The sequence below is a fragment of the Homo sapiens genome, chromosome 11, assembly GCF_000001405.40.
Source record: "Homo sapiens chromosome 11, GRCh38.p14 Primary Assembly".
NCBI lineage: Eukaryota > Metazoa > Chordata > Mammalia > Primates > Hominidae > Homo > Homo sapiens.
The window spans coordinates 12,741,768-12,756,187 of NC_000011.10; the positions used below are offsets into that span (position 1 = coordinate 12,741,768).

Consider the following 14,420-nt stretch of genomic DNA (forward strand, 5'->3'; position numbering starts at 1 on the left):
GCTCTCATCCTTGCAGTTGTGGTTCTGGGAAAGCAGAAAGAAGCACAAGCTTTTGCCGTGTGCCAGAGCTCCTGGGATCACAGTGGCCAGAGTCTGGGCTCTCCAACAGCCTTGTTTTTCAGCTGCCTTGCTTTTCAGCAGAAAAATCATGTGGCTGTCTGTTACCTCAGCTTTAATTGTGTTTACACTTTGTTTAGAGGGCCTGGCCTGCTCCTTATGTCCCACAAGCACCTGATACAGAGCCAGCACACAGTAGGCAGTTTCTTTTCACCCACCATAGATCAGAGGTTGGAATGCACCTTTCTTGACATCTTCATCTGTCTCCTGTCCCCTTTACAGCATGACTGTTTTAAGAGGTCTTGTAGCTATTCTTTGATTACCTCTAGTGATGGGAGGCTTACTGTCTCACAAATACATTTAGACTTTGAGTTCAAGGTGTGATGAACCTGGGTTTGAATTTCACCTTGACCACTGACTAGTGACATGATTCTGGACAAATAATATTTCTAAACTTCATTTTATTTATCTGAATAACAGAGATAGTAATATTTCTACCTCTTGTAATTGTGATGAGGATGAAGTGAAATAATAAAAGTAAAGTTCTGGACTCTAAAGAAGTCAAACTCATAAAAAGTAGAGTAGAATGGTGGTTACCAGAGGTTTTGGGGGTGAGAGGGTGGGTAGGGAAAGGGGAGCTTGATCAAAGTGTGCAAAGTTTCTCTTAGGAGGAATAAATTCTGGTGCATAACATGGTGACTGTAGTTAATAATAATTATGGTATATTTCAAAATGGCAAAAAGAAGAATTTAAATGTTCTTATCACAAAGAAATGATACCTATTGAAGGTGATGGATATGTTAATTCATCAGATTGGATCATTCCACAATATATACATGTATGGAAATATCACATTGTACCCCATGAACATATACAACTATTATTTATCATTCAAAAATAAAACTTTAAAAAAGGAAAGTCTTGACTCCTACTCCTCACATAGTGTCAAGTAAATATTAGCTGTGAATATTAATTTTATTTACTGATACAAGGTGTATTTCCTTAAACTTTTGCCATCTATTAGAATCTCAGTGATTTGGCAAAGAAGCCATAGCTCAGCCTCCAGCTCTTATAAGTGGCCTGGAATTTGGAGTATATTCTTCTGTAATGGAGATGTGGGAGGGTATTGTCTTTGAGCTGATTCCAGAGTGGCCCGTGGTCCAGCGGTGGGGCTGGGCAGTGCTGTAATACGTCCAGGCTAGCACCTTCTTGGTTTTCAGAGTCTGATTATAGAGACCTCTTGTTTGTCCTTCTCTTTCTTGGCTGGTGTTCTTGCCTTGGCATCCCTGATAGAAGATAGACAAAAACATTTAGAAGAAATGAAACTCTGATCCACATACTAGTTATCTGTTCCCCTCCGCAGAAAAGGGCTTAGTTTAGCAAAGAGAGGTAAAGGTAGAGATCATACTTCTAAATTCAAAGCAATATATGTCGAGCTTATTGACAGCACTCAATAAATGTTGCTTTTATTAATATTACAGGTAAACCAATACGAGGGTGGCCTGGGCATAGGGTAGGCAGGACCTAACTCTTCTCTTATCCCCAGACTTTAGTATTTCAGTATTTTTGATGAGAATCTGATTAATGATCTGAAAGTTCCTCAAAGTCTCCTGTGATTTAAGCAGATAGCTTTTATCCTTGGGGAACCAATATAATTAGTATTAGAACTAGGTTCATGAATCTTAAGATTATGGAGTTCATCTTTGTCCAGCCCATCTCACTATGCTTTGTAGAGAATAACTTAGCAGAAACAGCCCCCTGCTAGGCATCTTGGTAATTGCTTCCTAATAACTGTTAATTTTTGGTTTCACAACTAAAATATTAGGGAGTCTGGTGAATTTAAGAAATAGTGTTGAAGTGATGGCAATTGAGATTTTAAAAGTTGCCTGTATGACAAATGAAACAGATTTAAGGTGGGGGAGAAGGTTACCCATGAACGGGGTGGTATTGAAAATATTTAACAGCCAGTCCAGAAGGGCATTGGCACAGTAGAAACTACACTGCAGGCCCCTTGATTTGCCGGACACCTATCCTTGTTGAATAGTGAGGAGACCTTGGGACACTACGAAGGGGACAGAGCATTCACTGGGGCTTTGGAGCACTGACTCTTTACACGCTGTTATGGAAGTATTTCAGTATTTTAAACAACCAGTATAGTTGTACCAGTCGGGTACTGGAGGTGGTGTGGGAGAGTGTCTGAAACTGGCAGGTGTTCAGAGGTGTTGATAGATTCTTCACTTGTCATCTTTAATTCATTGCTGAGAAAACTTTAGTTGCGCTAGGCCAGATTATCCCCAAAGGCGTTTGGACAGTGTCACATTAGAATTTAGGGCTATTTAGAAAGCACTGAGACATGTCCTTTTTTTCAGAAAATACTGTGTATACAGTGTGAGAGGCGCACAGCCTCTGTCTTCATGAGGTCCCCAGTCTATCGGTGGCCTTGAAATTTTTCTGCTCTTTGACTGTAGGCTAGGAATCTGTCCTTGAGAAATGATTACAAGGATGTTTGCTACAACAGTGAAAAGTTGGGCAAAATCTAAATGTCCAAGCATGAGAAAAGAGCTAAATAATAGCATATCCACCCCCCAGAATATTATGTACCTCTTAAAAATCACAGACACAGAGAAGTTTTCAGGACTCAGGAACTATTTCTGACTGTGAAATGTTAGGTGGGCAATAAAAACCTAAAGCTGTAAGGAATAATTAGTGTAAGAAAGGACATCAAAATGCATGGGTAGCACTGATTATTATTTGATGGTGGAATATGGGTAAAGTTAATTTTCTTTGTGGATGTTTCTATATGTTCCACTTTTGGTCATCTATGGGTATTAACTTTTATAACTAGAGGTGTTCCAGAAATATTTTTAAAAACCCGATTAAAAATTTAAAAATTATTGTATAATTAGTGAGTGGGTGAACATGTTGGATTTAAACTTGGAGAAGCACATTTGGAGGTTGTATTTATCTCTTGTAAAGAAAGCTGCTGACTCGGTGGGATAAAAATAAGAGGCCTAGGTCAGCCTCCTCGCGTTGAGGCACCTGGCTCCCCCAGGCTTCCAGACTGCACGGGTTCTGAGAGGCCCTAATGGGCTTGTTGAAAGGTTCTACTTGGCTTCTTATTAATGTCCCTCCCTGAGCTGTGCTCTGCTCTGCTGGCTAACCTTGTCGGAAGGTTACCTGTGGCTCTCCAGGGCTCGGCTAATTTTAAACCTGGTCAGGGAGTGTGGTGGCATTGCTCTGCAGAGACATGAACAGCTCCCTGGGAGACACTGCTGGGGAAAGATGAGTCGAGTCTACGGTTTTTTCTCATCCTCCTGTAAGTGACCAGGCACGCTGAACAAGCAAAGAGAGCTGGGATAATAATGAGAGCTTTTATGGTAAAAACCAGGATTATTAAAGATCTTTTAGCAGTGTCAATGCTGGTTGATAATTGCACGGTGTGATGTGCCCTGCATGAACTGTGTCAATTCTGGCCACACTAGGAGTAGCAAGGTGAATGAGATCCTCTCTTCTGGAAACTAGACTTTGGCTGCTTTTAAAGACAGAATGAAACTACAGTGAATTTCACTACTTATTCGGTATTATTTTAAATTTTCAGGACTCACACTCCACTGGTGATAAGTTCTTCTATGAAATTTTTGATCAATTTGATTGGGAGAGGGCTGTTTCTGAAAAGCTAAAAAAAATTTAAAAACACAGAATCGCTGCCTGTCTGCATGTCAACTGCTGGTCTGGCTGCCTCTAAAATTGTCATTTTAAGGGGTTTTTTTTTTTTTTTTTGGACTGTTTGCAGTGGAGTCTTGTTCAGAATACGGCTGTGTCTTATAATACGTGCAACCCTGATATTGTAAAATGAAATATAAATCAATAACTGCAAAATAAGGTGACAATTGAGAACCTTTTCCCCATCAAAATTAATTGTTAAAAAAAAAAACTTAGCCCATATTTTTCTGCTTAGAATTTTTTTGTCCATCTACCTTTCACCACCTTCAGGTTGGGAATCTAAATGTGCCTGTTAGAGTTGGCTCTGTCTTCTCCTGCCAAGGCATTCACAGCTTCTTTTGCACGTACGGGATTACAGTGGGAAACCCATTCCACCCAGTGGATGGCCTGGTCTTGAGGCTTACCTGCCTGGCTTAAGGAAGTGCATCTTTTCTTGTAGCTGGGCCTGTACCCACCCACTCATAAAACAGTTGCTAGGAGCAAATTAAAGAGGCATTGTGTGTGGAGTAAACCAGGATGAAAGAACAATGGATGGAGAATCAATACCCTCCTAACTCCCTACAGTGATTGAAGTTAACTTTATTTGAAATATCCAGGCTGGGCCAGAGCACATCAAGCTAGCAGCATTCTTGCACGAGAGTAGCACGGGAATGAACTTTGATTTCATTTTAGGGAAGAAGAAAAAATAATGAATAAATGCTTTTTATTAGCCTTTTCCCTCCCCTTGAAGTCCTACCTCTTCTACATAAACCTAATTAGCTTCGACATGTTTGGATTTAGTTTTGAGAAAATTAAAGCTGAGTAATATTAGGAATTTGTTCAGTGGGAATACTTGTTAAAACCTTCATTGACCCAAATCTGACTTATAAATGGTATTAAATAAGCAAACTAAAGAAAACTTCATCCCCGTCTTGTCCTAAAATAATATTTTTAAAAGCATATTTAGAGTTAAGTATAATATAAATATGTTACCCTGATTAGGTACTAAATGAGGTACTGAAGAAGCTGTAGTGGCGGTATTGAGTGTAGTTATGAATTTAATGTTCTTTTCTTAAAAACCAAGTCCTCTTTGACACATGTTCAAAGGTCTTCCTTTTTTTTCTTCTCCTGAGCTGCTCTTTCTCACCTCTGGGGCACTTCCCTCCTACACTTGGCCCGCATGCGTGGTTTAGGCAGGCCCACTGTTATTTTTGTGGTAACCTGACACTGGGCCCAGCGCAGCCCCCTGGCTCTTGTGGGAGGTGAACTGGCTGAGAGCCAGGCTGCGTTCTCCCAGGATGAGCTGCTGCTGAAGCAGGCTGGGCTGAGGGCTGTGGGCAGGCTGCAGCAGGGGCTGGGATGCCACAGACCAGGCGGGCTGGGGGTTCACCAGTGAAGACCTCAGACTGTGCGGCTCAGCAGGTGGCAGGTCCTGCCTGAGGTTAAAGAAAGGTGGAGTTGGTTGTTGAGGCCACAGACCAGGTAGTCAGGGTGTTTGGAAACCTGAGGAAGGTTTTGAGGCCAGTGAGTCTCTTTTATCTCACTCTGTGGTTCTAGTCTAAGGTATGCCTGAGGCTGTCCTTGTAATTCCTTAGACAAGGATGAATTTCTTAAGAATCATCAAAATTGTATTCACATTTTAAGTTAAAATAAAGCAAATGGTTATTTGTTGAGCTGGGCTAGGGGGCTGGAGTGGGGTGCAGAAATGAATGGGAAATAGTGCCTACCTTTGAAAATTTGCAGTATAGCAGGGAAGAAGGTGGATATATTAGCAGTAATTATTATTATTTTTTAATTTTTAAAATTTTTGTTTTTTATTTATTTTTTGAGACGATGTCTTGCTATGTCATCCAGGCTGGAGTGCAGTGGCACAATCTTGGCTCACTGCAACTCTGCCTCCCGGGTTCAAGTGATAATCCTGCCTCAGCCTCCTGAGTAGCTGGGATTATAGGCACCCGCCACCACACCCATCTAATTTTTTGTATTTTTAGTAGAGATGTGGTTTCACTATTTTGGCAAGGCTGGTCTTGAACTCCTGACCTCAAGTGATCTGCCTGCCTAGGTCTCTCAGAGTGCTAGGATTACAGGCGTGAGCCACCACGCCTGGCCTATTAGTTTTGTTGTCAGCTATTTGAGAACCTACGGTGTGTCTGGCACAGTTAAGACATACTACCCATGCTCATCTCTAAGCATTTAGATAATATATGCATTGACTGTTGATTGAGATATTCTGTTAATACTTTCATGGATCATCTCATTTAATCTTTACATCAGGTGGCTAATAATGTTCCAGTTTTCATGAAAAGAAATGTAGGCACAGGTAGTAAGTGGAGGAATCAAAATTCAAACTCTTTGGGATTCTAAAACTCAGTATTCTCTTTATGTATATATAACTGCTCTGCCATATGGATTCTCCAGATGTCCAAGGTGATCCCTGCAATTTTTTTTTTTTTGAGACAGAGTCTTGCTCTGTTGCCCAGGCTGGAGTGCAGTGGCGCGATCCTGGCTCACTGCAACCTCCACCTCCTGGGTTCAAGTGATTCTCCTGCTTCAGCCTCCCAAGTAGCTGGGACTACAGGCACCCGTCACCACGCCCGGCTAATTTTTGTATTCTTAGTAGTGATGAGGTTTCACCATATTGGCCAGGCTGGTCTCAAACTCCTGACCTCAGGTGATGCACCCGCCTCTGCCTCCCAAAGTGCTGGGATTACAGGCGTGAGCCGCTGCGCCTGGTCTAATCCCTGCAATTCTTAGAAATACCTACCAAGGACAATATCAGCAAAAGTTTTTTGAGTTCCAACAATCTGTCAGGTATTGGGAGAGCCCCAGGCACCTGAAGGAGTGGAGTAGGTGGCCGGCTGTGTCCAGGCATCTTGGAGTGCGTGTGCAGCTAGAATGTTGGGGTTCTGGATGGGTGGCTGGAGGAGCAGGCTGAGAACAGGTGTGAAAGGCCAGGGGTCTCATAATGCACTTCAGTCCTGAGTGAGTGGGGATCTGCTGAATGACTTCAAGTGAGTGTATGATGAAAGTCCTATTTGCATTTTAGGAAAACCTTTCTGACTGCGGGATAGTGTAGGAGACACTCGCTAAAAATATGTCTCCTGGGATTCTGATTCAGGATTTCTGGCATAAAGCTGGGAATCTCTATGTTTAAGAAGCCACCCATATCATCTCGTATAACCAGGCTTGGGGACTAGGTTGTTGGCAGTGGCGAGAGTGTGGGGAGGCGGGGGACAGCTCAGCTCTGGCAGAGGGCTGAGGCAGAAATGGTGCGGTCCTTTCCTTGAGACAGGAGCAAAGTTAGTGGGGTAGAGAGGAGCAGAGGGGATCCAGGGGAGGCAGGGGGACTGGGGGTCAAATGGACGTTCTTGGTGATCATTTAGATCAGGAGGGGAGGAGGGGAACCTAGGATAATGGCCCTCCTTTTGGGTTATGCTCCAGCCAGTTTACCTGAGAAACATCATCTCTGAGAGGAGGCGGTGGGATTCTCCCAGGACCTGGGAATCCTTTTGGATTTTCATGGGGACTTTTACAGATAGATCCTTAATCAGCAATGTGATGTTGATGGTGTCAGGGCCCACTGTGCCAGAACTGTGTGTGTGTGAGGATTTGCGCTGGTTTGTTTTGCCTGTGGGGGACTTTTGGCTTCTGAAGTCACATCCCCTACGTAGAGTCACCTTTAGGCAGTTGGATTGAGAGGGAATCTGCACCTGGAAGTCTCCCTGAGAGGGAGGGCTTTAGTGGCCATTTGTACGTGTAATTGGAAATGGATTACATTTTAATTAATCTAAGGGGCTGAGAGCTCATCTTGTTCCTCTACCAGGGTTAACAGAATCTGTAGAAGGATGTAGTCTTGGAAGGAAATATATTCCCCCTGCCTGACACTCCGTCCACCTTTTTCCCTAAAGAAATTTGTGTGTGTGTGCTGGGGACCCGTAGAAAATGTGGATTTAATCAAGGTGTGGCCTTTGCATATTTTACTGAATTCAGCAGACTCATTTTGCTGGGGTTTGTCAGAGGGGAGGGGGAGGAGACTGCTGGCTGGAGAGGGCTCACAGCACCCTGGGCCATGGGGAAGTGAAGGCAGGAGAAGGCGCAGGCCTGATGTCAGACATGAGCGCATCAGACTTTCTGTCCGTACCTCTCTTGGACTGGGCGTCTTGCCCCCACTGAATGCCCTTACAGTGCTTGTGGACGGCTTAGAGTGGTCTTGTGCCCACAGCAGGTGCTCCAGTAATATTTGTTCATTTGAATGAGTGGTTTAATTGAGGGGGGAACAGTAGTTACTCACTTATCCTGCCTCAGCCTGTCTTCAGCTAAGGTGCCAAGATTCTTTCTCTTGCTGAACTTGAACTGGATGTAAACCAAGGACCAGGTTTACATTTTGAGGATTGGGATGGGGTGCGGGTGGGGCTTTAATTGGCCCCTGAATTTGCATCTCAATGTGAGAGACCTGTTTTGCATCTGCTCCATCACCATGTCATCATTAAATGGAAGATTATATTTGTCGTTTAAAGGGTGGGGACTTGCTTGTGTTGGTGATCATTGGGACCCAGTTGACATTTGTGAACCGGCAGTGTTGCGTGCTTTTGGTTAAATTCATGCATTAGCTCGTGTCGGCATTAGTTGGTGTTTTCACATTGGCCAAATGCAGACGCATGTCTCTGTATAAGCATAGCAGCCTGGTTCCCATGTTGGGCTCGAGTGTGACCCTGTTGTCAGCTCACAGCCTCTCTTTAGGGATGAGGGGAGTATGTTGAGTGCTTGAAGACAGTCTGATGAGCATTCATTAGAATGGCTGAGTGATCAGGTACCGAGCAGAGTTAATCCCATGGCTCTGGGTTGTTTAAACAAACACACCTTTATAAACTTGGAACACTGAAGGGAGACGTCACATTGTAGTATTTCAGTTTATCTAGAGAACTGTCCTGGCCTTGGACCATACTGAAAATACTTTTGATTTAAAAGTTCAGATTCCAGATATATAACATTCTCTGTTCTTCACCCTTTATCTTCCCAAGTAGACAGACAGACAGACAGACACACACACGTACACCTTCAGGAGTTGCTCACACACTCCTGGTGTTTCTGGTGTTTTCGTGCTTTTTGTATGAAACAGTCCACCTTTCGTCATGGCCTATGAGGCCCCCTGTGATTGACTCAGCTTACATTTTCAGCCTCTGCTCTAGCCTTTCTACTTTCTTGCTTGGCTCTCTCTTCCCCACATCTCCTCCACTAATACTTGGCCTGTGAGTCTGGATTAGCCTTTCAGACCAGCCTAAATGCCACCTCCCTGAGAAACTCTCATTGATCCGAGAGACAGAATAAACTCCTCCATCAGCACCCTATTGATTCCTCCATTGCATCAGGTGACATATTTATTCACCTGTTCATATTCACCCATTGACTCATTATTTCCGGCAACCATTCAGTCCTGTTTTTTGGGGAGCAGTTGCCATGTGCTAGGCATTCTGCTGAATGCCAAACATAGAAAAATGACTGGGCTGGGTGAGGTGGTTCATGCCTGTAGTCCCAGCACTTCGGGAAGCTGAGGCAGGAGAATCGCTTGAGGCCAGCAGTTTGAAATGAGCCTGGGCAACATAGTGAGGCCAAAAAACCGAAATAATTAGCTGGGCATGGTAGCATGTGCCTGTAGTCCCAGCTACTTGGGAGGCTGAGGCAGGAGGATGGCTTGAGCCCTGGAGGCTGAGGCTGCAGTGAGCTGTGATCATGCCACTGTATGTACTCCAACCTGACTCAAAAAAAAAAAAAAAAAAGGAAAAATTACTAAAGGCATGGGCCCAAACCTTAAAGATCTCACAAATCCTCAAAGGTGAGAGACGCATAAACAAATCATTCCTATGCGGTGAGTGAGTTCAGTTCATTTGTACTGGCTGGCAAAGGTGCTACCTGTGGGAACACAGAGGAGTGGGGAAAGGCCAGGTCAGGCTTCCCAGTGGAGGGGCTTGAAGTCTTGCAGGTATGTGTACTTATTTGTCTCGCTGCTGGAGAGGGTGCTTGTTGAGGACAGGGAATGTGGTATCTTTATCTCCATATCCAGTGCTTGGGACATATGGCTGAAGGGACAGGGGTGGGAGGGGCTCTCAGTAAATGCTTTTACCACATTAAATTGAAACAGATAATTAGAAAACAGAAACTTTCCCTTTCATATTTATACCCTATCATGTTTCAGAATCATTTTAAGGCAGCATGCAAGACTGTAAAATAGCATAAATAGAAGGTGGGAGAAAGAATGGAGAAAAAGAAGAGGATAGAGGTGAAGACTAAATGTGGACTTAGGAATGAAACCAAACTTGCCGACCAAAACCACCTCTGAGCACTCTCTGAGGGGCCTGCCAGTGTGGCTCAGTGCACTTTGGTGGCTACTGAGTAAAGGAAAGGCCAATGGCTTGACCACGAGGTAAAAAACACATTGTGTTTTGTTTGCTGTAGAACTTTCCTTTGGGATCTTTGTAAAGATCAGTCTGTGTGACGTGATGAGCAGCGTCTTCCACATCCTTGCATTCACTCTAGAGACAAATCCCATTGGCTGTTTCTTCTAATAACCCTTCATATGCTGATGGCAGCACATCAAAGCATAATTCAAAAAAGGCAAATGTATTCAGAGCTCCTGGAATAATCTTTCTCTAAGGTAACTGGAATCAGAAAGGCACTGAAACAGGGCAGTTTTTTTTTTTTTTTTTTTTCATTTCTTTCTTTTTTTTTAAAATAATTTTTATTGAAGTCCAACTTACATACAGAAAAGGGCACACACATCATCAATATTGAGTCCCTTGTGTTTTTCCATTTGAATGCATTGGCATCCAGAGCCATTGATCTATTGATCTGCACTGACATGACCAGAACCTCCTAAGCCTCCCCACGCTGCCTTCCAGTCAGTACTCCCAACCCTAAAGGGTGGTTGCTACCCTGACTTCTAATAACGTAGATGAATTTCGTTAGTGTTTGAACTTGGTATGAACGGACGCAGACAGTATAGTATATATTTCTTTGTATCTTTTTTTTCCTCAATATTGCGTTGGTACAATTCACCCATGTTGTTACTTGCAGTTGTCATTTATTTATATTCTATTGCTGTCCCATAGAACTTTCTGTGGCTGTGAAATGATTTTTGTCTGTGCTGTATGACACAGTAGCCATTAGCCACTTGTGAATATTGAGCTCATGAGATACAAGTAGTGTGACTGAACAACTGAATTTTTAATCTTATTAATTTACATTTAAATTCACAAATGTGTCTAGTGCCTACTGCATTGGACAGTACAGCTGTATACCATTCTATTTTATGAATATGCTACAGTTTTTTTTTTTTTAAGACAGTGTCTCACACTCTCTCAGGCCAGAGTGCGGTGGCGTGATCACAGCTCACTACAGCTTGACCGCCTGGGCTCAGGTGATCCTCCTACTTCAGCCTCTGGGGTAGCTGGGACTACAGGCATGCGCCACCAACACCCAGCTAATTTTTTTTTTTTTTTTTTGTAGAGATAGGGTCTCACTATGTTGCCCAGGCTGCTCTCAACTCCTGCGCTGAAGCAATCTGCCCATCTCGGCCTCCCAAAGTGCTGGAATTACAGATGTGTTCCACAGCGCCCAGCCTGATTATACTATAGTTTATATGTCCTATTGTTAATAAAAATTTGGCTGTTTCTGTCTGTTACAAACAATGAAAATATAAACATTCCTATACCTGTCTTTTGGTGAACATAGGCATGCATTTCTTTAGCATCTCTACCTGGGATTTGGAATTGCTGAATCAGGAGGTATGCATATAATCAGTTTTGGTATGTAGATATTGCCAAAGAGTTTTCCAGAATGATTGTACCAATTTGCGCTCTCATCAGTTCTTTGAGAATTCCATTTACTCCATCTCCTTGAAAATCCTTAGTATTAGTCTCTTTACTGTAGCTCTTCTAGTGGCTGGATAGAGGTATCACATTGTTTTAATTTGCATTTCTTTAATAACTAGGCATGTTGAACACCTTTTCATATGTTTATGGGCCATTTGGTTATGTTTCATAAAATACATTAGCTTTTTACTTTTTTTTCTATTGGGTTGTCTGATTTCTTATTGTTTGGAGTTCCTGTAGGATGAAGGATATGAGTCTCTGTTGAATAAATGTGTTGCAAGTATCTACTTTGTGGCCTGCTTTGATTTTCTTAATGGTTCTTTCAAGAAAGCGAGTTCTGAGTTGTGATTTGGTCCAGTTTATCATGTTTTTCCCTCCTGATTAGTGCTTTTGTGTTCCTTTAAAGTATCCTCGACTACTTTATGGCCATGTAGGTAATCTGCTAAGAATCCTTATAAATTCTTTACTGGTTTTTTTACTTTCAGATCTAAAGTCTATTTCAGATGGATTGTAAACTATTGTGTGTGGTGGGGTCAATTTTTATTTTTTTCGTATGGCTATCAATCAACCTGGCTCATGTATCAGGAAAAAAATTTCTTTACTCAGGGTAATGCAGTGTCACTTTTGTTACAAATCAAGTGAACGTATGTGTATGAGTTTGTTTCTAGATTCTCTAATCTGATTCCTTGGCCTATTTTCATTATCTTTGTGCCAGTACTATACTATTAATGACTAAGCTTTGCATTGAGGTTTCATATTGGGCAGTTTAAGTCGTTCAGCTTTGATTTTCTTCCTCAAGATTGCACAAGAGCTGCATTTATTCAAACAGGTTCATTTTATTTGTTGTTTTATGTTGTCTCACTTTTATCCAGCATCCCAATGTTATTTGACACTGTCCTAGGTTGTAGAGGTCACACAGGCTCTGCCTCTGCCTCTGCCCCGGAGGAGTTTTATGATCATGTTTTGGGACTTAGAAATATCCATGTGTGATTTGGGTATGCTTTGAGGATCTGTATGCTCAGATCCATTAGAAATGGGTAAAGGCAGACCAGATCTGACACCCACACAAGAGAAAGTGACAGCCTGATTTCTGATAGTCTAGAGACTATCAGACTTCTGCCTGTTACAAACAATGAAAATATAAACAGTGGGAAGGCAAACAATGTGATGAATTGTGGTTTTGGTTCCTTAGGTTGACAGGAAAGAGTTTTTTCCTTTTGGGCATGTTAGAGCCTAGATTTTGGATCCTGATGTGAGTGCTGATGAAATCCATTTGGATCCATTAGATCCTGAGAGCACTGAATGTCAGGAGCTGTGGTTGAAGGACCAGAGCAGGGCTTGGCCTTCGCAGTTTAGCTCTTTAAAATGCCATCCTGATTCAGGTTTTCCTTGTTGATTGGCTTATGACTCAATCAGGAGTGAAGTGTGGATTTCCCTATTGCTTCTCTCCCCAACCCCCAGAATGCCTGTCTCAATAATTTAGGATAGATGGGGCATGGCCAGAATGAGAGAAGCATCCAAAGTCATAGAAGCTGGTGGAGAAGGCCCTGGACTACTTTTGTATGCAAAGTAGGGAGGGCCGTTTCTGATGCAGCACAATTAGAATTCTGAATCAGCCAAGGGGGCCGCATCTGGGCAGATTGCTGCTGGGACCTGGAGTGAGGCCAGTGCCAACATATCATTTAAGTTGGCTGTCAACAGACTGTGTAACATTGGGTGAGTCTCACCTGGCCTTTAGTAAGCAGGGATGACTCTCCAGGCATTTACCTATAGACTTCCCTCTTAGGGAGCCATTTCTAATGGTATAAGACCCATTTCTAGGCATTCCATCAGTCATGCAGCTGAGGGGACTTCTTGAAATGGTGTATATACTTATATTTATCTTGTATGTTAATGTCTTTTTACTTCTACTTTTGATTTTTACTTTATGCTCATTGTCATTTAAAATACCGAGTTATAATAATCGGATGGTGAATCGTACCAACTAAGAAAGTGATGTGATCCATAGGTTAGTGGCTAAGGAGTGTTGTTTTCCTGGTGTTTTCTTTATTTTTAGTAAGCATTATGGTTGGTTAGTCTACCCCAAGTGTATGTTGACTCCACAGGCTACTGGAATTGGGGAGTTAGTCTTAAGGTTTTCTTTGACTGTTACTCCTGGGAAAAGGCTTATGAGTTTTCCTTTTGAAATACTGACAGCTCCTTACTGCTAACAGTTGGGACGTTTGCTCTCTTAAAGCAGGAAAGAAGCTTCTGTTTCTGGGGTTGAAATGTGTTTCCCGAGGTTAAGTTGTCCATTTCCCAGGGTGGGAGTGACTTGGGCTACGAGTCATGTCCTCTGGTTCACGCTCACTTTGGGCATGCACTGTCTTGGTATCAGGTCTTTGCTTTGGAATGGTCAGATAGGATAGATTGCCTGAAACTGGGTCTGTGGCCTTGTCCTTTTGAAGGAGTCCACTGATAAAGAACAACAATGATCAGCTTGACTGGTGGTAGTGACGGGAGAAAGGAAGGGGCAGGATTTCTGTTCTCAATGGCTAACAGATTCATTAAGGGGATGGGGTGGGCTATTCCCCTAAAGGCTGGTAATGCAGAGTGGTCCCATCAGAGCTGCATAGCATGAAATCAATCAGAGCTTTTCTTGAGCTGTCACCTGGGCAAGTACTTAGGGCTGATGGAGCGGAGAATTAATCAGGGATTCTCAGGAGGGTAATGCTAAGTCCTCTAATGGGATGCTTAGCATTGGGGCTTGGTGAAGAGATATTGGCTTGTTGATGGGATTCTGTTGACACGGAA

At 42.8% G+C, this 14,420-nt stretch overlaps 1 protein-coding gene across 1 annotated transcript in view, besides 2 other annotated features; it reads left to right on the forward strand.

Moving 5' to 3' along the window:
• The window catches only part of TEAD1 (TEA domain transcription factor 1), a 270,317-nt gene that overhangs the window by 67,347 nt on the left and 188,550 nt on the right, over positions 1–14,420 (forward strand). The gene's annotated exons all lie outside the window — the stretch shown is intronic.
• Positions 8,235–8,529: a silencer, noted in NCBI's record as "tiled region #9596; K562 Repressive non-DNase unmatched - State 23:Low". NCBI's record gives its function as "represses a minimal TATA promoter and a strong SV40 promoter by Sharpr-MPRA in K562 cells {active_cell/tissue: K562}" and the evidence as "EXISTENCE:reporter gene assay evidence [ECO:0000049][PMID:27701403]".
• Positions 13,835–14,129: a silencer, noted in NCBI's record as "tiled region #5264; K562 Repressive DNase matched - State 9:DNaseU". NCBI's record gives its function as "represses a minimal TATA promoter and a strong SV40 promoter by Sharpr-MPRA in K562 cells {active_cell/tissue: K562}" and the evidence as "EXISTENCE:reporter gene assay evidence [ECO:0000049][PMID:27701403]".